The 27,135-nt window shown below is 48.2% G+C and overlaps 1 protein-coding gene and 1 long non-coding RNA gene across 2 annotated transcripts in view, besides 3 other annotated features; both read right to left on the reverse strand.

The window, feature by feature from the left end:
• Window positions 1–13,357, reverse strand: LINC01290 (long intergenic non-protein coding RNA 1290). The gene is made up of 2 exons (NR_149081.1): window positions 13,251–13,357; window positions 1–391 (listed from the first exon to the last, which is right to left on the reverse strand). It is a non-coding gene; the product is annotated as a long intergenic non-protein coding RNA 1290 (long non-coding RNA).
• The window catches only part of EMP2 (epithelial membrane protein 2), a 52,177-nt gene continuing 38,622 nt past the window's right edge, over window positions 13,581–27,135 (reverse strand). The window contains exons 4-5 of the mRNA NM_001424.6: window positions 23,087–23,233; window positions 13,581–18,251 (exon numbers count right to left, since the gene is read on the reverse strand). Coding sequence (NP_001415.1) covers window positions 18,064–18,251; window positions 23,087–23,233 — 335 coding nt within the window. The 3' untranslated portion in view covers window positions 13,581–18,063. The remainder of the gene's footprint in view (window positions 18,252–23,086; window positions 23,234–27,135) is intronic.
• Window positions 18,831–19,125: an enhancer, noted in NCBI's record as "tiled region #3744; HepG2 Activating DNase matched - State 14:Gen5'". NCBI's record gives its function as "activates a minimal TATA promoter and a strong SV40 promoter by Sharpr-MPRA in HepG2 cells {active_cell/tissue: HepG2}" and the evidence as "EXISTENCE:reporter gene assay evidence [ECO:0000049][PMID:27701403]".
• Window positions 18,831–19,125: a silencer, noted in NCBI's record as "tiled region #3744; K562 Repressive non-DNase unmatched - State 9:DNaseU". NCBI's record gives its function as "represses a minimal TATA promoter and a strong SV40 promoter by Sharpr-MPRA in K562 cells {active_cell/tissue: K562}" and the evidence as "EXISTENCE:reporter gene assay evidence [ECO:0000049][PMID:27701403]".
• Window positions 22,084–22,173: an enhancer, noted in NCBI's record as "active region_10381". NCBI's record gives its function as "activates an Ori minimal core promoter by ATAC-STARR-seq in GM12878 lymphoblastoid cells {active_cell/tissue: GM12878}" and the evidence as "EXISTENCE:reporter gene assay evidence [ECO:0000049][PMID:35858748]".

The raw sequence follows: 27,135 nt of genomic DNA on the forward strand, positions 1-27,135 counted from the left end.
TTTAAAAAAAAAAAAAACCGTTTTGTTTTCATAAGCTATTTTTATCCTTTTCAATGTTGAAACCAGTTGATTTCACAATACTACTAAATAACATACTTAAAATACAGTGCCAATGTAGCAAGTCTCTAAGCTAGTATCTAGGTAAAATATGGCCCTTACCTTCCAGGCCTCCACGTTGATCTCAGTTGCTTTTGATTCTTAACTTGATTCACCAATCTTACCTGGAATTGCCTTACAAGTCAGTCAGCTTCTTTAAACTCAGAGTCCAGAGCTCTTCCTTGGCTGTGTTCTTAATTCCAGAGCTTCAGTTCTGCTTAGAGCCCAACATCCTTGCTGGCGGATTTTCTCATCAAGCAAAATGTTCCCTACTCTTTTCCGTCGTGCGTTCATCCTTTTATAAAATTGGAATTGAATGACGTCAATTAAAATAAATTAGTTTAAGCTGAAAATCCAACACAAGTGAAAAGTGTTCAAATCTCAATGAAACCATAGAAGCCATGCAGTCTATGTAGTCAACGATAACAAAGCTTATCTGATGGACTAAGTTGAATGTGGCCAAATAAATCACATAGGAAACCTCAACTCTTTTCTGCTCCCTTTGAAAATATAAAACAGGACGAAGGTTTCCAGAGCATTGCAGCAGGATGCAGTCATGGAATAAGAGAGAAAATCTTCAGCCAGGTGTGGTGGCTCACACCTGTAATCCCAGCCTTTGAAAGGCGGAGGCGGGAGGATCACTTGAGGTCAGGAGTTTGAGACCAGCCTGGCCAACATGGTGAAACCCCGTCTCTCCTAAAAATACAAAAAAAAAATTAGCCGGGCGTGGTGATATGCACCTGTAGTCCCAGCTACTAGGGAGGCTGAGGCACAAGAATCGTTTGAACCCAGGAGGCAGAGGTTGCAGTGAGCCGAGGTTGTGCCACTGTACTCCAGCCTGGGTGACAGAGTGAGACTCCATCTCAAAAAAAAAAAAAAAAAGGAGAGAAAACCTTCAGAAAACTCAGAGTTGCTGAGAGCACCAGAACTTAATCAGGAGAGGGGCTGGGGGAAGCACATGGGGTAACCCCCAGAATCTTGCTCTGGGCTAGAGAAGGCTCAACACACAGCAAGGAGAATATCAGAGAAGAGGCTGAAGGGGAGACTTCATAGGAGACAGGCGCTGGAGGAATCAAGATCAACTGGGTTTCCATCCTTGTGGCATCCCACTGGGGAGCCCAGGAGAGGCTCCGAAAGAGGAAGTTGATTGGCCTGGCTTGGGTCATATGCTACAAGTCACTTTGATTGACCTCTACAAGACATTGCCCACAGGGAGGCAGAGAGAGCTCTCCAGAAAGAATTCGGGGTGTTGATGTAGTTTGTATATTTGTCCCCACCCAAATCTCACATTGAATTTTCCTCCCCAGTGTTGGAGGTAGGGCCTGGTTGGAGGTGATTGGATCATGGAGGTGGTTTCTCATGAATGGTTCAGTGCCATCCACTTGGTGCTGTCCTTGTGATAGTGAGTTCTTATGAGATCTGGTCATTTAAAACTGTGTGGTGTCTGGGCGTAGTGGCTCACGCCTGTAATCCCAGCACTTTGGGAGGCCGAGGGAGCAGATCACCTGAGGTCAGGAGTAGGAGACCAGCCTGGCCAACATGGTGAAACCCCGTCTCTACTAAAAATACAAAATTAGCTGGGGGTGTTGGCACCTGCCTGTAATCCCAGCTACTCAGGAGGCTGAGGCAGGAGAATCACTTGAACCTGGGAGGTGGAGGTTGCAGTGAGCCGAGATCACGCCATTGCACTCCAGCCTGGGCAAAAAGAGTGAAATTCTGTCTCAAAAATAAATAAATAAAATAAAAATGTGTGGCGCCCCCACCCTTGCTCCTGCCCTGGCCATGTGACATGCCTCCTTCCCCTTTGCCTTCCACCATGACTGTAAGCTTCCTGAGGCCTCCCCAGAAGCTGAGCACATGTCAGCATCATGCTTCCCATAAAGCCTGAAGAACCATGAGCCAATTAAACCTCCTTTTTTTTTTTTTTTTTTTTTTTTTGAGACAGAGTCTCTCTCTGTTGCCCAGGCTAGAGTGCAGTGGAGCAATGATGGCTCACTGCAACCTCCGCCTCCTGAGTTGAAGAGATTCTCCTACCTCAGCCTGCCGAGTAGCTGGGACTACAGGTGCCTGCCACCATACCTGGCTAGTTTTTGTATTTTTAGTAGAGACAGGGTTTCACCATATTGGTCAGGCTGGTCTCAAACTTCTGATCTTGTGATCTGCCTGCCTCAGCCTCCCAAAGTGGTGGGATTACAGGCGTCAGCCACCGTGCCCGGCCTTAAACCTCTTTTCTTTATAAATTACCCAGTCTCAGATGTTTCTTTTTTTCTTCTTTTTTTTTTTTATTTTGAGACAGAGTCAGCCTCTGTCACCCAGGGTGGAGTGCAGTGGTGTGATCTTGGCTCACTGCAACCCCCGCCTCCTGGGTTCAAACAATTCTCCTGTCTCAGCCTCCCAAGTAGCTGCGACTACAGGCGCCTGCCACCACACCTAGCTAATTTTTGTATTTTTGGTAGAGACGGGGTTTTGCCGTGTTGGCCAGGCTGGTCTTGAACTCCTGACCTTAAGTGATCCGCCCGCCTTGGCTTCGCAAAGTGCTGGGATTACACGTGTGAGCCACCGCGCCTGGCCTGTTATTATATTTTCAAGACACCTCTCAGGGCCACTGTGTTTATTGTGCTTAGAGAGGGAAAGAAGAGAACTGACAGGTAAGGAGGAAGCTCCGATGCTCTGGGTCATAACCACCTCCTAAACTGAGCTAATTGGCCTAGTTTACGGAATCAAGCATCCCACAAAGTATTCCCAATTGCAATCGCCAACGTCCCTCAATCCAAATCCCTGGAGAGCCTGTCAAAATGGCAGATCCCAGGGCCCCAGCCCTTGAGGTTCTGACTCAGCAAGTCTGGTGCGCAGCCCAGGAATCTGCAATCTCAAGATGTTCCCCATGGATTCTAAGGCAGAGCATCCATAAACCATTCTTTAAGCAACTATTTTCCCAGCCAGCAAATTATAAAGACTTTTTTCAAGTACAACGAGACAGAAAGCCAAGTGAAACTTAAAATTAGTTGACCTGCTGGCTAAATCTGCTAAGTGGGCACTTGCCCCATATCACCCTCTGGCTCTCTGCTTCCTCTGCCAGGGAACGAGCTCAGCAGATGAGGCTGGAGCATAGAGGGCGGAGTCGCCTGTCCTTTAGCAGGTGCTCTGGTTACTGGGTCAACTCACACATGGGGCAGGGAGGCGGAGCCTGCAAGTCCCACCTTGCCATTGAGTGGAGGCAACTGTTTTTTGTGTGTGAATATTCTTGTTTTGTTTTGTTTTGTTTTGTTTTGTTTTGTTTTGTTTTGAGACAGAGTCACTGTGTCACCCAGGCTGGAGTGCAGTGGTGCAATCTCGGCTCACTGCAAACTCTGCCTCCTGGTTTCAAGGGATTCTCCTGCCTCAGCCTCCGAGTAGCTGGGATTACAGGCGCCTGCCACCATATCTGGCTAATTTTTGTGTTTTTAGTAGAGATGGGGTTTCACCATCTTGGCCAGGCTGGTCTCGAACTCCTGACCTCTGGTGATTTGCCCGCCTCAGCCTCCCAAAGTGCCAGGATTACAGGTGTGAGCCACCATGCCTGGCCTGGAGGCAACTCTTGAGGTTGGGATGTCTGCAGTTCAGACTGAAGGCTCCTAATCCTGCTTGGAACTCCCAGCAACCTGCCTCACGTTCATCCCATAGGAAAACCTACAGGATAAGCCAGCAGCTGCTCCACGTGCTGACTGCACACCTTCCTGCTCTTCCCCGACTCCTCTCGTCTCCCGATGACAAGATCAGCCACCGCCTGCTCTAGATGACCCTTCTGATTCAGTCCTGCTGTTTGCAGCCTCCCCACTTTAGCGGCTTCAGCACTTCTCTAACCATGTTTCAGGTGACACTGTCTTTTTCTTTTCCTTCCTTCCTCCCTTCCTTCCTACCTCTCTTCCTCCCTCCCTCCCTCTCTTCCTTCCTCCCTTTCTTCCTTCCTTCCTCTCTTCATCCCTCCTTCCCTCCCTCCCTCCCTCTCTTCTTTCCTTCCATTTCTCCCTCCCTCCCTTGATTCCTCTCTCCCTCCCTCCCCCTTCCTTCCTTCCTCCTTCCCTCCCTCCCTCCCTTCCTTCCTTGAGATAGAGTCCCATTCTGTTGTCCAGTCTGGATGGAGTTCAGCGGCATGGTCTCAGCTCACTGCAGCCTCAAACTCCTGGGCTCAAGGGATCCCCTTGCCTCAGCCTTCTGAGTAGCTGGAACTACAAGTGCACACCACCACACTCAGCCAATTTTAAAACTTTTGTAGAGATGGGGCCTCCCTATGTTGCCCAGGCTGGTCTCGAACTCCTGGCCTCAAGCAACCCTCCCACCTCAGCCTCCCAAAGGCTCCCCTCGCTTCCCTCCCCTCCATTCCCTCCCTTCCCCTCCCCTCCCTCCTCTCCCTCCCCCTCCCCTCCCTCCTCTCCCTCCCCCCCTCCCCCTCCCCTCCCTCCTCTCCCTCCCCCTCCCCTCCCCTCCCTTCCCCTCCCTTCCCGTTCCCCTTCCCCTTCCCCTCCCTCCCCTCCCCTCCCTTACCTTCCCTTCCCCTTCCCCTCTCTTCCCTTCCCCTCTCTTCCCTTCCCCTTCCCCTTTCTTCCTTTCCCCTTCCCCTCCCCTCCCCTCCCTTCCCCTCCCCTCCCCTCCCTTCTCTTCCCCTTCCTTCCCCTTCTCTCCCCCTTCCTTCCCCTTCCTTCCTCTTCCTTCCCCTTCCTTCCCCTTCTCTTCCCCTTCTCTTCCCCTTCCTTCCCCTCCCCTCCCCTCCTCTCCCTTCTCTTCCCCTTCCTTCTCCTGCCCTCCCCTCCCTTCCCTTCCCTTCTCTTCCCCTCCCTTGTCCTCCCCTCCCCTCCCTTCCCCTTCCCTTCCCCCCCTTTTTTTTTTTGTTTTTTTCAGATGGAGTCTCACTCTGTCACCCAAGCTGGAGTGTAATGCCATGATCTCAGCTCACTGCAACCTCCGCCTCCCGGGTTAAAATGATTCCCCTGCCTCAGCCTCCAAGTAGCTGGGACTATAGGCACACGCCACCATGCCTGGCTAATTTTTTTGTATTTTTAGTAGAGACAGGGTTTTACCATGTCAGTTAGGCTGGTCTCATACTCCTGACCTCAAGTGATCTGCCTGCCTTGGCTCCCAAAGTGCTGGGATTGCAGGCCACCGCACCCAGCCTCCTTTCCTTTCTGAGACAGTGTCTTCCTCTCTTGCTGGAGTGCAGTGGCACAGTCACAGCTCACTTCAGCCTCAATCTCCTGGGCTCAAGCGATCCTCCCACCTCAGCCTGCTGAGTAGTTGGGGCGACAAGTGTGCCACCTCACCTAGCTAATTTTTAAAATTTTTTGTAGAGACAAGGTCACACTACATTGCCCAAGCTGGTCTTGAACTCCTGAGCTCAGGTAATCCTCCTACCTCAGTCCCGCAAAGTGCCAGGCTTACAAGCATAAGCCACCACATCTGGCTTGCCATCATTTCTTTCTGGATAGGACAATGGCAGACCACAGCAATTGAACTTCCCTTCCTGGCCAAAAAAATAAAAAATAAGCATAAAAAATCTGTGCTTTAAAGTAACCCTGTGCCAAGGTGAAGTAACACCTCTCTTCTCTTACATGTGTTCAAGACCCTGGTGAAATTAACTATTGTCCTTCTACAAACACAGAGAAGCCGTTTCTTCCTGGTTCCTCTGGTCTGTTTGTTTTAGCTGATGACAAATATTGAGCAAATGTGCCGTTTCAGCTTTGGGATGGGGAACATCCCGTGCTGTTCTCCTGTGTGTTCAGAGAGACAACAAGGGCCCTGGTGGGGGAGACTGTCATTGGCTTTCCTTCCAAATGGGTGTGAGCTACTCTAGGCCAACCACCTTCGCTGGCAATTTCCAACAGCCCCCAAGTAGCCCCACCATCATGGTTGCCAATCACCGTATTTCCTGGTGTATATAGGACCCAACAGCAGTGGCTCTCCCTTGGAGGCAATTTTGTCCCTACCCCTTGTAGAGGGCATTTGGCAATGTCTGGAGACATCTTTGGTTGTCACAGCAGTGGTGGGGGGTGGGGTGCACTGTTGACATCTAGTGGGTAGAGGCCAGGGATGCTGCCACACATCCTACAGTGTACGGGACAGTCCCCACCAATAATTCTGCAGCCCAAATGTCAATTGTACTGATGCTGCAAAACTCTGCCCTACAGGTATACAATATGGAGTTCTTACAAGAAAAACTTTACAAAGAAAGAAACTTTTGAAAGAAAACACTCACAGAGACTTTTCATAATACACCTATTTAAAATGAGTTCAAGGCTGGGTGCGGTAGCTCATGCCTGTAATCCCAGCACTTTGGGAGTCTGAGACAGGGGCATCACTTGAGCCCAGAAGTTCAAGACCAGCCTGGGCAACATGGCGAAATCCTGTCTCTACAAAAAATACAAAAATTAGCCCGGCGTCGTGGCATGTGCCTGTGATCCTCCCACCTACTCGGGAGCTGAGGTGGGAGGATCATTTGAGCCCAGGAGGCAAAGGTTGCAGTGAGCTGAGATCTCACTACTGCACTCCAGCTTGGGTGACAGAGCAGGACCCTGTCTCAAAAATAAATAATTAATGAATGAATAAAGAGTTCATAATAGGTTTGTACTGAAAATATATTCTTTTTCTCATGCAAGTATAGTCAATTCTACACTGACATTCCGTTGCAAACTGTAAATCTGTCTCAATGTAGTAATATACTACTAACAAAAGCACAAAAATCACATGGCTAATCCCATGGCTATATATTAATAAATTGAGATAAATGAAAGTAGGTACATAGCCATGTTCTAGCAGTAACAGATTTAATTCTAAATTAATCAGGATTTGTACACATCAGCTTTTATCAACTGCGTTGGGTTTGGCTAAGTTGGATGTGCAATTGGTATCTTTGCTTCAATGTTTTATTGCTATACCGTGTTGTCACATGCCACCACTAGGGGGTGGTAGTAGTACCCGCTCTTCCACTTTCTGGACGCTTGGCTTCCCCTGGCCATGAAGCAAATGCATTGGAAGCAGGAAATTTTTGAGATACATGTTTTGAGGGAGGAGTAGAGATTCATTCCACATCTTGACATGTAAAACACTTTGGGTCTGGGCGTGGTGGCTCATGCCTGTAATCCCAACATTTTGGGAGGCTGAGATGGGCAGATCATTTCAGGTCAGGTGTTTGAAACCACCCTGGCCAACATGGTGAAACCCCGTTTCTACTAAAAATACAAAAATTAGCTGGGGGTGGGTTGGGTGTGGTGGCTCACGCCTGTAATCTCAGCACTTTGGGAGGCCGAGGCAGCCAGATCATGAGGTCAGGAGTTCGAGACCAGCCTGACCAACTTTGTGAAACCCTGTCTCTACTAAAAATATGAAAATTAGCTGGAAGTGGTGGGGGGTGCCTATAATCTCAGCTACTCAGGAGGCTGAGGCAGGAGAATCGCTTGAACCTGGGAGGCAGAGGTTGCAGTGAGCCGAGATCACGCTGCTGCACTCCAGCCTAGGCGACAGTAAGACTCTGTCTCAAAAAAAAAAAAAAAAAAAAAAAAATTAGCTGGAGGTGATGGCACATGCCTGTAATCCCAGCTACTCAGGAGACTCAGGCAGGAGAATTGCTTGAACCTGGGAGGTGAAGGTTGCAATTAGCCAAGATCATGCCACTGCACTCCAGCCTGAGCGACAGAGTGAGGCTCCGTCTCAAAAAAAAAAAAAAACAGGAAACAAACTTTGCGAGACCAAGGTGGAAGATCGCTTGAGCCCAGGAATTCCAGATTGCCTGGGAAACATAGCAAGACCCTATCTCTACAAAAATAAAAATAAAAAATTAGCCTGGTGTGGTGGTGCACGCCCATGGTCCCTGCTACTTGGGAGGCTTAGATGGGAAGATTGCTTGAGCCCAGGAGGTTGAAGCTGCAGTGAGCTATGATTTTGTCACCGCACTCCAGCTTGGGTGACAGAGTGAGACCTTGTCTCAAAAAAAAAAAAAAAAAAAAGCTAAGTATGTAACAACAGTGCAGACTGTACATAATATAGCAAAGAATATGTAGGTGTGATATGGATGAATATAGTTTGAAATTAGCTGTGGGTAGACAGGGAACTGGGCTTCTGATAGGATTTAGTAGACATTTGATATTTTGTTTGCCCAACATCTGAACTTCCTTCCTACGTTGGGGAATTCCTTTCCTTCTGAGTCTTGGTGGGTTGCAGAACTAACCACCATGATGTAAACTGAAGATGGCTGCTCATCATTTCCCAGCCTTCCCTGCAGCCAGGACATGGTCATGTGATCCAGGCTTCACCAGTCAGAGGCACCATGCCAGGCTCCCAATCCACAGAAGGAGGGATAGCACAGGTGCAAATATTGGCTGCAAACCATACCATCTTGTGGTGATGGCGGTGGTTTTCTTTTTTTGTTTGTTTTTTGTTTTTTGAGACAGAGTCTCACTCTGCCATCAGGCTGGAGTACAGTAGTGCCATCTCAGCTCACTGCAACCTCCGCCTCCCGGGTTCAAGCGATTCTGTTGCCTCAGCTTCAAAAGTAGCTGGGAGTACAGGCGTGCACACCCATGTCCAGCTAATTTTTGTATTTTTAGTAGAGACGGGGTTTCACCATGTTGGCCAGGATGGTCTCGATCTCTTGACCTGGTGATCCGCCCACCTTGGTCTCCCAAAGTGCTGGGATTACAGGCGTGAGCCACTGTGCCCGGCCCTGACAGCAGTGGTTTTCTTACCAAATTGTTCTGTGGAACGATCTGAGGCAACTAGGGGGGATTTGGCACATGCTTTCAAGCCTGGGCACTACTAGCTTTCCCTTTAGTAAATTTCTTTTCTGTTTAAATCAGCCAGAGTCACTATTGCTTGCAACTAAGAACCTTGACTAATACTAAGTTTGGTAGCTTGTGTTAGTGCTGCAAGCAACAGACACTCTCACGTGGAATTAGCTGAATGGCAGTGTCAGGTCAGAGGGCAGTGGAGATACTGTTATTCAGGCTGGGAAGCTGTTACTCTTGTCACGCTATGGCAAAACATTTGGTTTGACAAACTTTTTCTGCAAAGAGCCAGATAGTAAATATTTCAGATTTTGTGGTCTAAATGGTCTCTATTGGAACTACCCAACTCTACTCTGGAAAGCGTCCATGAACACTATGTAAATGAGTGGGTGTGGCTGTGTCCCAATAAAATTTAATTTACAAAATCAGGTGGTGGGCTGGATGTGGCCCACAGGCCATAGTTGAAGCCTGGTTCAAACTGCCGCCTATTTTACACCAACCATGAACCTGTGGATGTTGTAGTATCAGGAGAAACTGTAGAAATATATCAGGATGTTGGCAAGTTCAACTTCTTAGAGCCTTCAGTAAGATCCAAAAAGAAAAAGTAAATCTTGGGTCAAACATGGTCCAATGGCAAAATGGAAGAAAATGCAGCTTTGCTAAGATTCCTTCTGCCTGAAGCCTGCAATCTACAGTGATGGAGAATCCAAAGATTTAGAGAGTTATAGAAATAGACAAGTCAAGTGCAAGACCAGGAGTTGACAAACTTTCTCTATGAAGTGCCGATAGTACATATTTCAGGCGTTGCAGGCCACGTGAGGTTTTTTTTTTTTTGAGACAGAGTTTCGCTCTTGTCACCCAGGCTGGAGTGCAGTGGCGCTATCTCGGCTCACTGCAACCTCTGCCTCCCAGGTTCAAGCAATTCTCCTGCCTCAGCCTCCCTACTAGCTGGGATTACAGGCGCCCGCCGCCACACCTGGCTAGTTTTTTGTATTTTTAGTAGAGATGGGATTTCATCATGTTGGCCAGGCTAGTCTCAAACTCCTGACCTCAGGTGATTCACCCACCTGGGCCTCCCAGAGTGCAGAGATTACAGGCATGAGCCACCACGCCCAGTCCAAATAAAGTCTGTTGTATATTCTTCTTTGCATTATTTTACAATTTTTTTTTTTTAAAGGCGGAGTGTTGCTCTGTTGCCCAGGCTGGAGTGCAGTGGTGTGATCTCAGCTCACTGCAACCTCCACCTCCCTGGTTCAAACGATTCTCCTGCCTCAGCCTCCCAAGTAGCTGGGATTACAGGCACCTGCCACCACACCTGACTAATTTTTGTATTTTTAGTAGAGATGAGGTTTCACCATGTTGGCCAGGCTGGTTTCAAACTCCTGACCTCAAGTGACCCACCCACCTCGGCCTCCCAAAATGCTGGGATTAGAGGTGTGGGCCACTTGCCCCGGCCTAAAACATTTTTTTCCTTTTTGATGAAACAGAGTCTCACTCTGTTGCCCAGGCTGGAGTACAGCAGCAAGATCACGGCTCACTGCAGCCTTCATCTCCCAAGCTCAAGCAATCTTCCTGTCTAAGCCTTTCAAGTAGCTGGGACCACAGGCCTGCGCCACCATTCACAGCATTTTTTTTTTTTTTTTTTTTTTTGGTAGAAACAGTGTCTTGCTATGTGGCCCAGGCTGGTCTCAAACTCCTGGGCTCAAGCGATCCTCCCGTCTCACTCTCCCAAAGTGCTGGGATTACTGGTATGAGTCACCGTGCCCAACTATTTTCACAACTTTTTAAGAACACAAATTCTCAGCTTGTAAACCATATAAAAGCAAATAATCTGCTAAGCCCTGCTATAAATGAAGGATCAATAGTGTGGCGGCAAAAAGCTAAGCAGAAGATAAGATGTATGGGATTCCAGCAAAAGATATGTTAGATCCTTTAGCATTTTTCATCAGACAGAGGGACAGGCATAGAGAGATAGCTCAGATTAGAAGGGCTTTGCAGGTATTGCCTCAAGGCTGCAGTAAAGCTCAGAGGCATGGGGCCAGGAATTCTGAGGCTCAAATTATTAGGCCCATCACATAAAAGCCATAGGCAGAACTACCTAGATAAGCCACTACTGGATTCCTGACTGTCAAAATCTCTGTGATAATAAATGTTTTGTGCTTTGAAAAAAAAACTTGAAGAAATTGGGTCGAGACAAGATCTTGCATGGCCAAAGGAACCCCATCTGTGACTGAGAAGAGCCTGTAACTATACAACGCTGAAAATTACCTCTGAGACACTAGGCCTCACACCCAGAGGAAGAAAGAAAGTTCCCGGTCAATGGACGCTTCATTTGGCCGGGCGCGGTGGCTCACGCCTGTAATCCTAGCACTTTGGGAGGCAGAGGCGGGCGGATCACGAGGTCAGGAGATCAAGACCATCCTGGCGAACACGTTGAAACACCATCTCCACTAAAAATACAAAAAAAAAAAAAATTAGCCAGGCGTGGTGGCGGCCGCCTGTAGTCCCAGCTACTCGGGAGGCTGAGGCAGGAGAATGGCGTGAACCCGGGGGGGCGGAGCTTGCAGTGAGCCGAGATCGCGGCACTGCACTCCAGCCTGGGAGACAGTGAGACTCCGTCTCAAAAAAAAGAAAGAAAGAAAGAAAGAAAGGGCCTGCTCCACACTACCCATCTTAAATCTGACCACAGGGGACAGTGGATGAGGGAGATGGTTCCACTAAGCAGGACCAAGAGCAACGGATTGAGCAGCCACCAATCTCCCTCCCGCCAGGGAAGGGGCTTCCTGCTATTTGTGACCAATAATGAACCTGTGGCCGCTGGACATTGGTTCTCTGCCTGTCCCTTTTCCAAGGGGACAATTCATGGTGACATCCTGTGCCTTTGTCTCCATTACATACTAGGGGCTTTTGAGAGGACATGATTGAACCTTTAGCCACCCATTACCAGGCCATAAGGAGCCCCAACTGGACCCGACTGAGATGCAGCACATCACCCATCGCCCTGGAGTGGGAGCTGGAAGTGGAAGCCGGTTGAGACCTCAGGTTAGATCCCTCTTGGGAAGGGGTTAGTTCGTTTCACGAATGTACAAGAATTTTTATTTCTTGAAGCAGAGTTTCTGTCACCAGGCTAGAGTGCAGCGGCGTCATCACAGCTCACTGCGGCCTGGACCTCCCAAGCTCAAGCGATTCTCCACCTCAGCCTCCTGAGAAGCTGGGACTACAGGAGCACACCACCATGCCTAGCTAATTTTGTAGTTTTTATAGAGATGGGGTCTCGCTGTGCTGCCCAGGCTGATCTCAGACTCCTGGCATCAAGTGATCCTTCCGCCTTCACTTCCCAAAGTGCTGGGATTACAGGCATCAGCCACTGCACCGCGACCCGCATGTTTGCATAATTTGATCTCACTCCTGACTCCAGCCAAGTACTGGGGCAATGATGAGTGAGTGTGTTACCCAAGACAGACCCATCAGAATCTAGCCCTGGAAACTTGAAACTGAGACTAATATTATCTAGATCAAGGCAGGGACTGAGTTCATTAAGGCGGCTCCCACTCCAGGGCGATGGGTGATGTGTTGTGATCTCAGTTGTGTCCAGCTGGGGCTCCTTATGGCCTGGTAATGGGTGGTAAAGGTTCAATCATGTCCTTCCAAAAGTTCATAGTATGTAATGGAGACAAAGGCACAGGATGTCACCATAACACCTAGCACAATGCTTGTACCATTACAGCTACGCAAATATTTGGTGAATGAATGAATGAGAGGCTGATTTCCTGAATGGAAGAAATATGAAATTGAGTGTTCTGGGGTGATCACCATCCCCCAGCCATATGGACAAAAAAAAAAATCCAATCTAGAAACACAAAGAAGGCAGACAGTAGCCTCTGAAGATTTTAGTTTGTAAACCCTGTGTGACAGTATGGAAATGAGTGTTCTCAAGATACAAAGATAGCTTTTGCTACCTTTGGCATTCCTTAGATAGAAGCTAAAGGGATCTGTCTGTCTCTCTCTCTCTCCTTCTCTGTCTGAATTTTTCAGTTTTCAGCAGAATATGTGGTAGAAGATAGTCTCATTCCATCATGACCTCATCCTTTAAAGCAGAGGTCTTTATTAAATACAAATGAAATGAAAGAACATGATCTAGTAACAATGAACAGGAAGGTTAAAAAACAAACAGGATCAGTCATTTGTGGGGATCCCTGAGAAGTGAAAATATGGGGCTGCTTGTTCAAATACGAAGAACTTTAAAGCCGGGCGCAGTGGCTCCCACCTGCAATCTCAATGCTTTTGGGAGCCAAGGTGGGAGGATCACATGAGCCCAGGAGTTCAAAACCAGCATAAGCAACAGACCCCCCGCCCCATAAAAGAATGAATGAATGGATGGATGAATGAACGGATACATACATTTTAGGAGCGTTCTTCTCCATGACTACGAAATATTTATTTCTTGTAAGAATGTTCTACTTTATGCCGGACACAGTGAGTGGCTCACACCTGCAATTCCAGCAGTTTGGCAGGCCGAGGCAGGAGGATCGCTTGAGGCCAGGAGTTCTAGACCAGTGTAGGCAACACAGCGAGACTCTGTCTCTACAAGAAATACATATAAAATAATTTAAAATGGCACTAGCAGATCATTCTCCCAAGCATGGGGGCCTTGGATGCATGGAAATGTGTGCGACTACCCAGGCTGCAGGGCTGCAAAGCTGGCCCCATTAAAGAAGCAGAGGGAGATTGTCCAGTGATAAATTGTCCATTTATCAGTTGCTTAGTGTAAAAACCATACATTATTATCTTGATGAGAAATCAGCTGACCCCCTGCCCCTCAAAATGGCAGCATTCTGCCCTAGATGTCATCACCGTTGGGAACATTAGAGTCTTGCTCTGGGCAATCTGGTTTTAAACTTTATTTTCCATGTACAGTTTCAGATTATACAAAACATAGAAAATGGACTATTTTAAAGGTACATTAAGTAGAAAGTTTCTAACTACCCTAAAGTCACAAACCAAGATTCAAAATGAACCTCTAGGCCTTGCCCTAACATTTCCCCAACACCACAAAATTGTCCAACTTGCTCTATTGTAAGTAACCTTTAAACTATTAGCGAGTTTAGTAACATCCCGCGAGGCAGATTTTAAACTACGATACAGTTTCTATCTAGGCCACTGTGTTTAGTGTGTTTACAAACAGGCTTGGAGTTCTAGGTTTCTTCATCATCAGTGAACACAGAGCGTCCTAGAGCGCCAGCCTGTTCATGAGGGGTGTCCACAAAAGCACGCAAACTATAGCAGAGTGTGTGGGAGTGAATAGGTCTCCGATGTTCCTGTATTCAGGTATATATATATACACATTCACACAGACCAACAAGTCAAGCATTCTCCAAACTCATTTGAACAGAGACCCAAAATAATTTTAATGCAAATAACAAAATGAGTTAGTCTGTCTCCATCACATAGCCCCTCAATGAAAGAATTACAGTACTTTATAAAAATGTCATAAAATGCGCAAACTACAGTTCCTTCAAATACAGTTGATGCTATCTTTGGTCCTAATATGTGCTTCTTGGATGTCTACTAATTTTGTTGTTGTTATTGTTCTTGAATAACTGGTAATAAGCACCAAGTGAGGGCTGATTCTATCTACAGGTAAGAAGCTTGGATGTTTTCTCCCTGATTTTGTCATTTCTTTCCAACTTCCCAAATGCATGTCATACAGCAGGGAAGAGGCATCTCTCATGTCTCAAAAAAGCTTAATGGCACAGGTGGATGTGGGCACTGAATGTTGTACAGCAGTGGCAACCAGCCGGGAAAATCCATAGGATCATTTCAGACCGCATTCAACACAGATACTCATGTAGCCCCGACGTTTCTTGTGAAGGGAATTGATGTATTGCTTGAGGGGGTCGATCTCTGGTTCTAAGGTGTTTTGTTTGTTTCCATCGTGACTACCAGAAAATTATAGAAGGCCAGACGCAGTGGCTCATGCCTGTAATCCCAGCACTTTGGAAGGCTGAGGTGGGCGGATCACCTGAGGTTGGGAGTTCGAAACCAGCCTGACCAACATGGAGAAACCCCATCTCTACTAAAAATACAAAAATTAGCTGGGCATGGTGGGACATGCCTGTAATCCCAGCTACTCGGGAGGCTGAGGCAGGAGAATCACTTGAACCCAGGAGGCAGAGGTTGCGGTGAGCCAAGATGGTGCCACTGCACTCCAGCCTGGGCAACAAGAGCAAAACTCAGTCTCAAAAAAAAAAAAAAAAAAGAAAAAGAAAAAAGAAAATTATAGAAAAGCCACCAAGGTAGAAAGTTTCAAGGGAACTTAAGATTCAACTTCCTCCATGAGCTTGGGTAGCATCCTGTTAACCCTAGGGGTGTAAGCCACATTCTTGCCCACAATATGACTAGTGAGAGTATCTCATGGAGGCAGGAGGTGACATTTGTCCTGTCTCTGGCCCCAGGTCACCCTGTACTGCATTGGTGGCTTCTCCATAGGGAGGGGGTCCTATCTCATAGACTCCAAACTTCATGATGGCAGGGAGGATATCTGGATTTGCTCACCCCTGTATTTTCAGAGCCTCACACAGTGCCTGGAACATGGTAAACATTTAATACTATCTGTCAAAAACAAATGAATGAAAGAGCAGATGGAAAGAGCCAATCCTGCATTGAAGAGATATCCATGGTGGCCCTAAAACTACTCAAACCAGATGTCTCTTCAGCTCCACTGGAACTGAGCTGATGGCAAACCACCACTCCACTCAGCAGAAGGTCAAGTGCAAAAGTATTTAAATAGCACGAGGTCCCACACCCCATCCCAGGACAGCCCCCAGCATCCTGCTCCAACATAAGCAGAAAAAGACAATGAGGTGCAAAGAGCTTATCTCCTGGGATGGTTCCTGGGTGGTCTGCATTGCCACACAGCATCATGCTTTGATCCTGAAGGACAAGGCCCCAAAAGCCCTATTTCTCAGCACAGTCTTAAAATCACCTGGAAATCATTCACCCAGACCCTCTGAATCAGCCTGTCCCAAGCAGCACGGGAACCCCTAAAGCTTGAAAACTCCAGCTCTATGGGACCCTCTCACCGCATTTACTGTCGGGACCATGGGCCCCTCCACAGACATGTTTTCTGGGTGTTACACAGACAGGTACTGCCCAATAACTGTCATCTGCACGAACTGAATGGAGCTATATTTAGACTGATCTAAATACCTAAATGCCTCCAGGAGCATTTAATAATAGGCACGCGTAAAGCAGCCTCCCTACCATGCCACAGGCCTCGATTTTGAATCGTTTTATTTTTGAGACGGAGTCTCAGACTGTCGCCTGGGCTGGAGTGCAGTGGTGAATCTCGGCTCACTGCGACCTCCGCCTCCCAGTTTCAAGCGATTCTCCTGCCTCAGCCTCCTAAGTAGCTGGGATTACAGGCACCTGCCACCACACCGGGCTAATTTTGTTGTATTTTCGGTAGAGACGGGGTTTCACCATGTTGGCCAGGCTGGTCTTGAACTCCTGACCTTGTGATCCACCTGCCTCAGCCTCCCAAAGTGCTGGGATTACAGGTGTGAGCCACCGCACCCAGCTGATTTTGAATTCTTAGTGGTGTTCTTTGCAGCCTCCATCACAGTGTGTAATTAGTTTCTTTTCTTTTTTTTCTTTTTTTGAGATGGAGTCTCACTCTGTCACCCAGGCTGGAGTGCAGTGGCACGGTCTCGGCTCACTGCAACCTCCACCTCCCATTTCAAGTGATTCTCCTGCCTCAGCCACCTGATAGCTGGGATTACAGGCATGCACCACCACGCCCAGCTCATTTTTGTATTTTTAGTAGAGACAGGTTTTACCATTTTGGCCAGGCTGGTCTTGAACTCCTGACCTCAGGTGATCCACCCGCCTCAGCCTCCCAAAGTGCTGGGATTACAAGCATGAGCCACTGTACCCAGCCAGTTTTTCTAATTAAGTTTTAATCTGTCTCCTCCACTAGGCCATGAGCCCTAGGAGGAGATTGTCTCTAGAGGGTATCCCCTGTGCCTGGCACATGCATGCAAGTTATGATTTATGTTGATGAATGAATGAATGAATGAATGAATGAATGAATGAATGAATGGTGGATGGGTCCTCTGAGGCTCTAGAAATAGGGGTGAGAGGCCAGCCAGGTGTAGCATGAAGGGCTGGACAAGAAGGGAGAGGCCTTCTGGGATAAGATGGGAAGGAGGCTGTACCCCACACCCTGAAGGTGTCTATGAGTTCACATGGCTCAGGAATGGAGTTTTGGGGCCCTAGATGTAGACAGCTGTGGCGATGGAGGCCAAGGTTTTGGCCTGCTGTGGGGGTTGCATTCACCTCCCCATCTCCACATGACGATACCCCAGCATTTACGAGGCAGCTCTGCTGACCTGGCCCAGGCACCGTGGTCCCCAACTTCAACGCATCTGAAGCGTTGCCCAGGGAGCGCGTTAGAAATGCAGATTCCCTGGCCCCATCCCTTGAAGACTCTGATTCTGTAGGTCTGGGGTGAGGGGGGGGGCGCTGTAGGTTTTGCCTAAAGACGAGTCTAAATCTGGCACGCAGGTTAAGGATGACCATTCCTAAGGCAAGCAGGTGACACTGTCGGCAAATTGAGGTGAGACTTTTTCTGACCCACCCCGATACCGGAGGGATGGCTGGGCTCTGGTTTGGATACAGACAGAATGCCAGGGACTACACCTGCTTCTCACTTGGAACTTGGGTGAAACCTCTCAGGAAGCTGTCATTCTTCTCCTATACCCCACCTCACCCTCTTCCACCCACCACTAGCAGAGAGATTCGGGAGGGGCTTGGGCCAGCTGAAACCCATAGGAAGCACGTCCCCAGAGACCCGGCTTTCCCAGCCTCTCCTCTCCTCCCATCACAGCCCCATGGTTAAGAAATGTCCTGCCGAGTGCTTTTGGATTTGAGCATTGCTGGATTTTTGCTTGTGTCTTGTTGAGACTTTTGAGTGGGCAGCAGTTCTGAATACCAGCCTTCATAGTCTATTCTCTGATCTCAAGAATGCAAAAACTCTTCTCTCTTTTGGATTTTTTTTTTCTTTTTTCTTTTTTTTTTTTTTTTTTTTTTTTTTTTGGCTTTTAAAGGAAACAATACGTTTGCTAGAAAAACCTCAAAAAATAATGATTATATACAAAATGGTTATCTGAATGTGGATTCTGTACTGCAGCAGAAGCAACCCAGCTCCGGAACTCTATTTGCGCTTCCTCAGTATCAGGTACATCATGCCGCTGATGAAGGTGCAGGCGAAGGCCACCCACGCCAGGATGTAGGAGTAGCCGTAGCTGCCTTCTCTGGTCACGGGATAGAATTTCGCGTTTTTGTCGTGAATGTCTTCACGCCTGTCTGTATAAATGGAGGCCGCAATCATGACACACAGACCTGTCAGGAAGAAAGGTGAATTTTCAATAAATCATGGACCACAGTGCACCCTGGGTAGCCCAGGGGCATACGGCCAGAGTTGAAGACAAACTTCAGCTTTTATTCTTTGTTTATTATTATTTTGTTGTAGAGACAAGATTTTGCCATGTCACCCAGGCTGGTCTTGAACTCCTGAGCTCAAGCAATCCTCCTGCCTCGGCCTCCCAAAGTGCTGGGATTACAGACGTGAGCCACCGCGTGCAGCCTTAAGCTCTTATTATTAATAGGTATTTATTTTAGTCTATTGGAAAAATTACAACTGATATTTTGTGGAAGGATATTGTCACCTACCCTGTAGCTATTTTGCTTCCCATTCTTGCTAACTAAACCCAGTTTTGTTTGGGCAGCCACATCACCAACCCAGAGGGTGAACATAATTGGTCTAAGCCAGAGGTCCACAGACGTACCCTGTAAAGGGCCAGACAGTAAGCAGTTTAGGTTTTCTGTGGGCCATGGTCACACAAGTCTGCCACAGTAGCATGACACCACCTATAGACAATACAAAAATGAATAATAGTGGCAGTGTTACAATAAGATTTTATTTACAAAAACATGTGGCAGGCCAGATTTGACCTATGGGCCATAGTTTGCCAACCTTCTTCTTGGCAATCTGGTTCCTGTTTACTTGTTATAGCTGATGGGTCAGTATGTATCCCAGTTCTGACCACAGAAAACCTTCAGTGAAAAATATGACTCCCTGGGCCGGACACGGTGACTCATGCCTGTAATCCCAGCACTTTGTGAGGCCAAGGTAGGTGGGTCACCTGAGGTCAGTAGTTCCAGACCAGCCTGGCCAACATGGTGAAACCCCGTCCCTACTAAAAATACAAAAAATTAGCCGGGTGTGGTGGTAGGTGCCTGTAATCCCAGCTACTAGGGAGGCTGAGGCAGGAGAATCGCTTTAACTCACGAGGCAGAGGTTGCAGTGAGCCGAGATCGCACCACTGCACTCCAGCCCGCACAACAGCAAAAACTTCCTCTCAAAAAAAAAAAGAAAAATATGACTGCCTGAAAAGAGAGCGATGAGGGAGGAGAAAGCTTTTTTAAATTGCTCTCCTTTCTCTTGCTGACTGCTTTAAATATTGTCGGGGCAGGATGAAATATCTGGAGTTGCAGCAAACTTTTTGGAGCCACGAAGAGGTCAACACCAACACTAAAGATGACAGAATAGAAGGATGGAATGAGCGGAAGTGCTTGACGCAGACGCTGCTAAATCAGCTCTAGAAACTTTTCTACCTCCAGAGTACTTGTTATGTAAAAATAGTAACTATCTTTGTGGCTGAAATCACAGTTAATTCGATTTTCTCTCACATAAGGCCAAAAGCACCCTAATTTTAGTACTTGTGGTCCTTGGCTGGGTGCGTTGGATCATGCCTGTAATCCCACCACTTTGGGAGGTTGAAGCGGGCAGATCACTTGCACCCAGGAGCTCGAGACCAGCCTGGCCAACATAGCAAAACCTCACCTCTACTAAAAACACAAAAATTAGCTGGGTGTGATGGTGCACACCTGTAGTCCCAGCTACTTGGGAGGCTGCGGCAGGAGAATCGCCTGAACCCGGAAGGCGGAGGTTGCAGCGAGCCAAGGTCGCACCCCTGCACTCCAGCTTGGGCGACAGAGCGAAACCCTATCTCAAAAAATAAAAAAAGAAATACTTGCTGTCCCAATATTTACAGACATTAGAGCTAAGATGAGCTTAGGTTCTGTGGTTTTCCTTGGGGGACCTATCTCTCTCCTGGCCAGGCAGTTTTGGTGGGACTATCCTTCAAGATGCTCAGACATTCTCTGGCCAGGGGCCAAGCGCGTAGACAATCTCCGCCAATCAGACTCTCACTCCTGGAAACCTGAGTCTAAACAGTGACCCTGTCAGGGTTCCTTGATTCTGACAGCACCTCCCTGGAGCCGCTGCCTATCAGTTGCTGGTGCCTGGATCTTCTTTCCAAGACCTGGTTTTTCAGCTTTTCCTTTGATTCTTGCAGGCTACCCCCAGAATCCCATCTCTCACATGAGTTAGAGTATCTGCTGCTTGCGTCTAAAGATCCCTGCCTGATACAGCATTAAACACTCTGCAGTTTGAAGCAGAACAGGGAGGGCCAGGTCTTTGGACCAGAAAATGGCCACAGGAGTTGGGGAGAATGGGATGCTATGCAAGGAAAATGGGAAGACGTGACTTTCATATTAAAATACGGGGGAATTTTCATATATGTGAAAATTTATATATATAAAATTCCTAAATACATATATTAGGGTAATCAATTTTGACTAAGCAGGCTTACAGATCAACAGACAAACATAGACAATAACAGAAAATAAACTTCAGAAGCTGGGTGCGGTGGCTCATGCTCGGAATCCCAACACTTTGAGAGGCTGACGCTGGCAGATTGCGAGACCAGCCTGCACAACATAGTGAAACCCCATCTCTACAAAAATTAGCCAGGCATAATGGCACATGTCTGTAGTCCCAGTTCCTTGGGAGGCTGAGGTGGGAGCATTGCTTGAGCCCTGGAGGCCGAGGCTGCAGTGAGCCATGATCACGCCACTGTACTTCAGCCCGGGCAACAGAGTAACCACCCAAGTCCCCCCACCCCAAGTTAAATGACAGGATTCAATTGCCTTTAATGGGGTCGGTGAGGGTGGGGGGTCCACGCCTCTAACTGGCAGATACAGAGACAGTAAAGGAGGGGGATCAGACACCTCCTGACTACCTCGCCCAGGGTCCTTGGGAAGAACGCATTCTCCCTTTAGGCCTCATTTGTTCTGGCTTGTTGCTCTCCAACGCTTGGCTCAGGGACAGGAGTACAAATCCCCAGGCTCTAACCCAGCAGATGCTGATTCAAGAGGGCAGGCTGGGGCCTTGGGAGTCTGCACTTTAGAAAGGTCCCCGGAAGGACTGTGGTGGACTTGGGGGGTTCTCAAGATCAAGTGACCCTCCGGAGTCTTTTGCACTTGAAAACACTCTCATTCTCCACCTGTACCTAGAAGGGGTGGTACCTGGCTGTCCAGTAAAAGTGCCCCAAGGGGAGGGGACGCTGAGTGTGACCAACCACCCCACTTTGCCCTGGACTGGGGTTTCCTAGGATGCGGGACTTTCAGTGTTTTTATTTTATATTGTATTTTATTCTACTCTATTTATCTTATTATTTTTTCAAGGAAGAGTCTCACTGTATCCCTCGGGCTGGAGTACAGTGGTGCTATGGTTTGGCTGTGTCCCCACCCCAATCTCACCTTGAATTGTAATAATCCCCACATGTCAAGGACGGGGCTAGGTGGAGATCATTGAATCATGGGGGCGGTTCCCCCATACTGTTCTTGTGGTAGTGAGTAAGTCTCACAAGATATGATGGTTTTATAAATGGGAGTTCCCCTGCACACGCTCTCTTTCCCGCTGCCATGTAAGCCCTTTTGTTCTTCCTTTGTCTTCCGCCATGACTGTGAGGCCTCCCCAGCCATGTGGAACTGTAAGTCCATTAAGCCTCTTTCCTTTACAAATTACCCAGTCTCGGGTATGTCTTTATTAGCAGCTTGAGAATGGACTAATACAAGTGGTACAGCACCCCACAGCTCACTGCAGCCTTTACCTCTCAGGCTCAAATGATCTTCCACTCCAGCCTCCCAAGTAGCTGGGACTACAGGTGTGCTCTGCCATGCTTGGCTAATTTTTTTTCTTTTTGTATAGAGGAGGTCTCACTATGTTGCCCAGGCTGGTCTTGAACTCCTGGGCTCAAGCAGTCCTCCTGCATGGGCCTCCCAAAGTGCTCCTGCACCTGACCGGGACTTTCAGTTTTAAACCAGAGGATGGTCCCAGGCAAACTAGAACAAGTTGTCACTGCACTGCACTGATGACACATCTCAGGGTCATCCTGAGGGCATGGCAGGTTTGGACTTGACCCTGGCCCGGGAGGTGGAGGGCTGGAAGGAGGTGGTAGTTAGAGTGGTTAGGGCCAAGCAGCCTAAGTTGGCTCCCACACCCAGATTTCTTGCCTTCATCAAGCCACTCGTCAACTCCTGATTGGAAAGCACCCTAGAAGGGACTTCTGTATTTTGTCATCAGAAAGCTTTAAATCGTCACTGAGAAACAACAAATGATCATGGTGTGGCTTCTGACTTCTGATCTGACTTAAGCCTTGCTAAAATTCCTAAGTAGAAAAAAATGCTCTGAGACCTCTGCTTCCTCCAAGTTCCTCCAGGACTGAGGCTGTGCCTTGTTCATCTCTTGAGCCCCTGCAGCCAGCACAGGCCTGGTGCAACGTGGGCACCTCTGTCACCCACCAGCTTGAAACCTGTTGATGGCTTCCCATCAGCTTAGAACAAAGACCCCAAATCCTTTCTATGGCCTGCAAGACTCCATGGGGCGTGGCCCTGCCTGCCCTGCTGGTTCACTTCCCACTGCACTCCAGCCCCACTGGGCAGCTCTCCGTCCCTCCTGTCACAGGGCTTCCGTCATGCTGTTCCCTCTACCCAGGACACTGTTCCCTCCTCTCTCTATTGAGACACAACACTGTCGACAGCGACTCCTACTCACCCTCCAGATCCTCTGGCTTCATGTCTCCAGGATGCCTTCCCTGGACTCCCAACTCAATCCAAACTCCCAAATATAAACGTCCCACTGTGGTACAGCATGCATGCGCCCACACACACACACACACACACGCAAACACACACCGGCACACAGCACCGCGCGGCTGCCAATTTCTCCTTTCCAAATTCTCCCTCCTCCTGGCTTCCCTCCTGGCGGCTGGGAAGGGAGTGCTTATTCCAGAAAGCCCCTTGTTAGGGAAGCCCGTTGATGTACTTACATGACATTAGCTGGATGATGGAGGTTAGGACAAACCTCTCTCCCTGCTTCAGGCGGAAGAGCTGGAGCACGAAGATGAAGAAGGCGATGCAGCAGAGAATGGTGGAGAGGATCATGGTGGCCTGGACCGCCTGCAGCGTGGAGTACTCTGCGGGAAAAGGGCAGGGGCGCAGGACTGAGGACCTTGGCCAGCCGGCACTGTGGGGTACACAGCGACCGCAGCAGCTCCAGAGTAGGTGTGACAGGAGGCAAACAGGAAGGGGTTCAGGCGGTCGTCTACATGGTCTGAGCACAAGGGCAGCCAAGGCGTCTTCCAGACCCCCTGCCCCTCACCTCCAGTGTCCATTTGACTGGACAATCCTCGACCCCTTATCTGGAAGACGAGGCAAGAACCACCTGCTCTGCATTCTTCCTGGTCTGGGTCACAGACCCCACATGCTTGGCTCATGGACAGGGGAATCTTTTGAAGGACAAACCTCAGGTTCCAACGTGGTAGATTGTGACTCAAGAAATCAGGATGGGGCCTTGGGGGTCTCCATTTTAGAGAGGGATTCCCATGGACTCAGGGCTCATGGGACTGTGACCTTGTGAGGTGCTCTGTGGACTCCACACTAGCCTGTAGGTATCGGAGGCTGATCTTCACGGTCACTACTTACAAAGAGGAGGAAAGCTCCTTTCTTTTCAGGTCAGCCTTAACAGAGACTGGGGTATGAAGGTTTGGGGCTCAGTACAGAGAAGTTTCAGTGGAGAAGGGAGGCCTAGGGTGGAGGGTGTCACATGGGGGCAGGTCACAGTGAGGCTAATGTGTAGAAAGCTATGTGGCCATAGGGAAGGCATCCTGCACATGGGTTACCTTCGTGGGCCTCAGTTTCCTCACCTGTAAAATGGGGATATAGATATATTTTTTGAGACAGGGTCTCACTCTGACAACCAGGCTGGAGTGTAGTGGCACAACCGTAGCTCACTGCAGCCTTGAACTCTTGGGCCCAAGTGATCCTCCTGCCTCAGCCTCCTGTGTAGCTGGGACTACAGGCATGTCTGGCTAATTTTTAAAAAATTTTTGTAGGGATGGAGTCTCGCTATGTTGCTCACGGTGGTCTTGAACTCTAAAATGGGGATACTAATAGCTCCTTCCTCATCGGGCTAGGAAGGTAGAGTAAACTCATCTACATAAGGGGGTTTGGAGGGTGCAGGCAAGGTGGGAGTCCTGTGTAAGAGCTGAATGCTGAATGTTACCACCAGGATGAGGCCAAAAGATAACGTGAGGGGACAGCGTCCACGCTGCACAGAAAATCTAAGGACACACCTTCCTTTTCTTTTTCTTTCTGTCTTTTTTTTCCTTCAATTTTGCAGTTTTGCCTGAAAACTCACTGGAGTGAACATAATTGGTAAGTACTTAATGAAACGTCTAGAGCTGTGGATTTAATCCATTCTGGCTACAGATTACGGTTGCTTGGAGAGCATCTAGCCTTTCCCCCAATTCCTTATGGGGAGCGAAAGGAGTCAGACCGGCTCCCCCACTATGACACACACCACATGACCCCATTCCCATGAGGCCCAGGAACAGGTGGAAGTGAGTTATAGTGACAGAAGTCAGAAGTGGTTGCCCTCGGGGCAGAAAGCGGTAGCAACTGTGTGGAAGGGGGCCCGAGGAACTTTCTGGAGAGTTGGCAATGTTCTCTGTCTTCTTTTGGATGGTGGTTACGTGGGTGTTTATACAATTGTCAAAACCCACCAAACTGAGCCCTTAAGAAGCCTGCGTTTCCTTGTTTGTAAATTATAACTCCATTAAAAAAAGAAAAAGAAAAAGAAAACCCAGCAGGCTCTACTGAGATGAAATAAATCAGAACGTCGGGCATTGAGAGCGGGCACGAGGGCTTCGTAAAGCCACCGAGGGAATTCCAATATGGAGCCCAAGTGGTGACCCTCTGGCTTACAGCAGTACTTCCCAAATCTGCCCAATCCCAGGGATCACCTGGGATTGCTTATTAAAAATACAGATTCTTAGGCCTCTCCCCCTGGAGATTCTGCTACCATTGTCCTGGAGTGGGCACCAGGAATCTGTATTTTCAGCAACAAGTGACCCATGATGGGGCAAATGGGGAAAACATGGCTTTGGGGGAAAGGATGAATAGATGTTCCTAGAACAGGGTTTCTCAAAGCTGGGAGGGGGTGCAGGATGTGCCTGCCAGGCAGCCCCTGAGATGGGTGTATGTGGAACCCAGTGAGGACGGGAAACTACACAAATTCACGGAATGAGAGGGATGCTCACTTTGCTCAGTTTAAATTCCTCTAAGGGCTGGGCATGGTGACTCACGCCTGTAATCCCAGCACTATGGGAGGCAGAGGCAGGTGGATCACCTGAGGTCAGGAGTTTGAGACCAGCCTGGCCAATATGGCAAAACCCTGTCTCTACTAAAAATACAAAAATTAGCTGGGTGTGGTGGCACACACCTGTAATCCCAGCTACTTGGGAGTTTGAGGCAGGAGGATGGCTTGAACCCAGAAGGCGGGGACTGCAGCGAGCAGAGATTGCGCCACTGCACTCCAGCCTGGGTGACAGAGCGAGACTCTGTCTCAAAAATAAATAAATAAATAAACAAATAAATAAATAGATTTCTCTAAGGACCTCAAGGAGGAGTTCTCCACCAGCTGCTTTTGTGCTTTAAAAACACCCACTAATATCTGGGTGTTTGGGGTTGTTTGTTTTTTAACATGAAAAGGACCAGAAACAGGCTTAGAGGCTTCAGGAGGGAAGTGTGTCTGCCCAGACTTTGATAACATCATTGGGCTTTCCATCTAGTATTTTCAGAAAGCTTCCCTTCTTTTATGGCAAGTGATACTAGTTTATACGAGTGATAACACTCATGGGAGGGATGTGACATTCTCTTTAACATAGACTTATGGTTTGGGAGGCCACAGTGGGTGAAGTGGGAGAATCGCTTGAGCTCAGGAGTTCAAGACCAGCATGGGCAACATGGTAAAACCCTGTCTCTACAGAAAATACAAAAATTAGCCAGGTGTGGTGGCACACACCCATAATCCCAGCTACTGGGGAGGCTGAGGTGGGAGGATCACTCGAACCTGGGGGGCAGAGGTTACAGTGAGCTGTGATTGCACCACTGCACTCCAGCCAGAGTGACAAAGCGAGACCCTGATTCAAACGGAAAAAAAAAAAAGAAAATAGATTTATGGGTGAGTGCAGAGGCTCATGCCTAAAAACCCCAGCACTTTGGGAGGCCAAGGTGGGAGGATCACTTGAAGCCAGGCGTGAAAAACCAGCCTGGGCAACACAGCAAGACCCTGTCTCCACTAAATACAGTAGATTTATGTACAGAAAAGTGGGCTATTTTAAAAGTAAACTTTTTAAAGTAAAAAAAGTTGGCAAACTTTTTCAGTAGAGGGACAGACAGTGAATATTTTAGGTTTTGTGAACCATATGGTCTCTTGTTGAATGTTCTTTTTGTTTTGTTTTTAGGGGTGTGTGTGTGTGTGTAAACAACTTTTAAAAATGTAAAAACTGTTCTTAGCTCCCCGGCCAAACAAAAACAGGCCTTGGACTGAATTTGGCCAGCGGTTCGCCAACCCCTGTTTTAAAGAAAAATAAGTGAATAATCCCATGTGGAGGATTCAGAAAAACAGCCACAGAGCACAGCAAGCCCTCCCAGCTGGCCTTGCACACTGGCGACAGCTGGGGCTTGCAGAGCTCAGGGAAGGAGGGCTGTTCCCAGGGCCAGAGGTTAGCATGACAGAATAACAGACGAGATGGAAGGGAGCACCGATGGTGTTCCGTGGTTAAGGGTACTGGCTTTAGAGCTGGTCACACCTAGACTGGAATCCTGCCGCCATCATTCGCTCCTGGCTATGCGGCCTTGGGTAACTTAACTGCTCTCTGCCTCAGTTTCCCCATCTTAAAATGGGGCCTATGGTCCCTGCCTGATGGGGCTATGAGATCACCTATGTAAAGGACTTAGACCCATGCCTCACAGTAAACTTTAAGTAAATGGTGCCTTCTACTGGTATTTTTGCTGCTTTTATGATGAATATGGA

This window comes from Homo sapiens, chromosome 16 (assembly GCF_000001405.40).
Source record: "Homo sapiens chromosome 16, GRCh38.p14 Primary Assembly".
In the NCBI taxonomy this organism is placed as follows: Eukaryota; Metazoa; Chordata; class Mammalia; order Primates; family Hominidae; genus Homo; species Homo sapiens.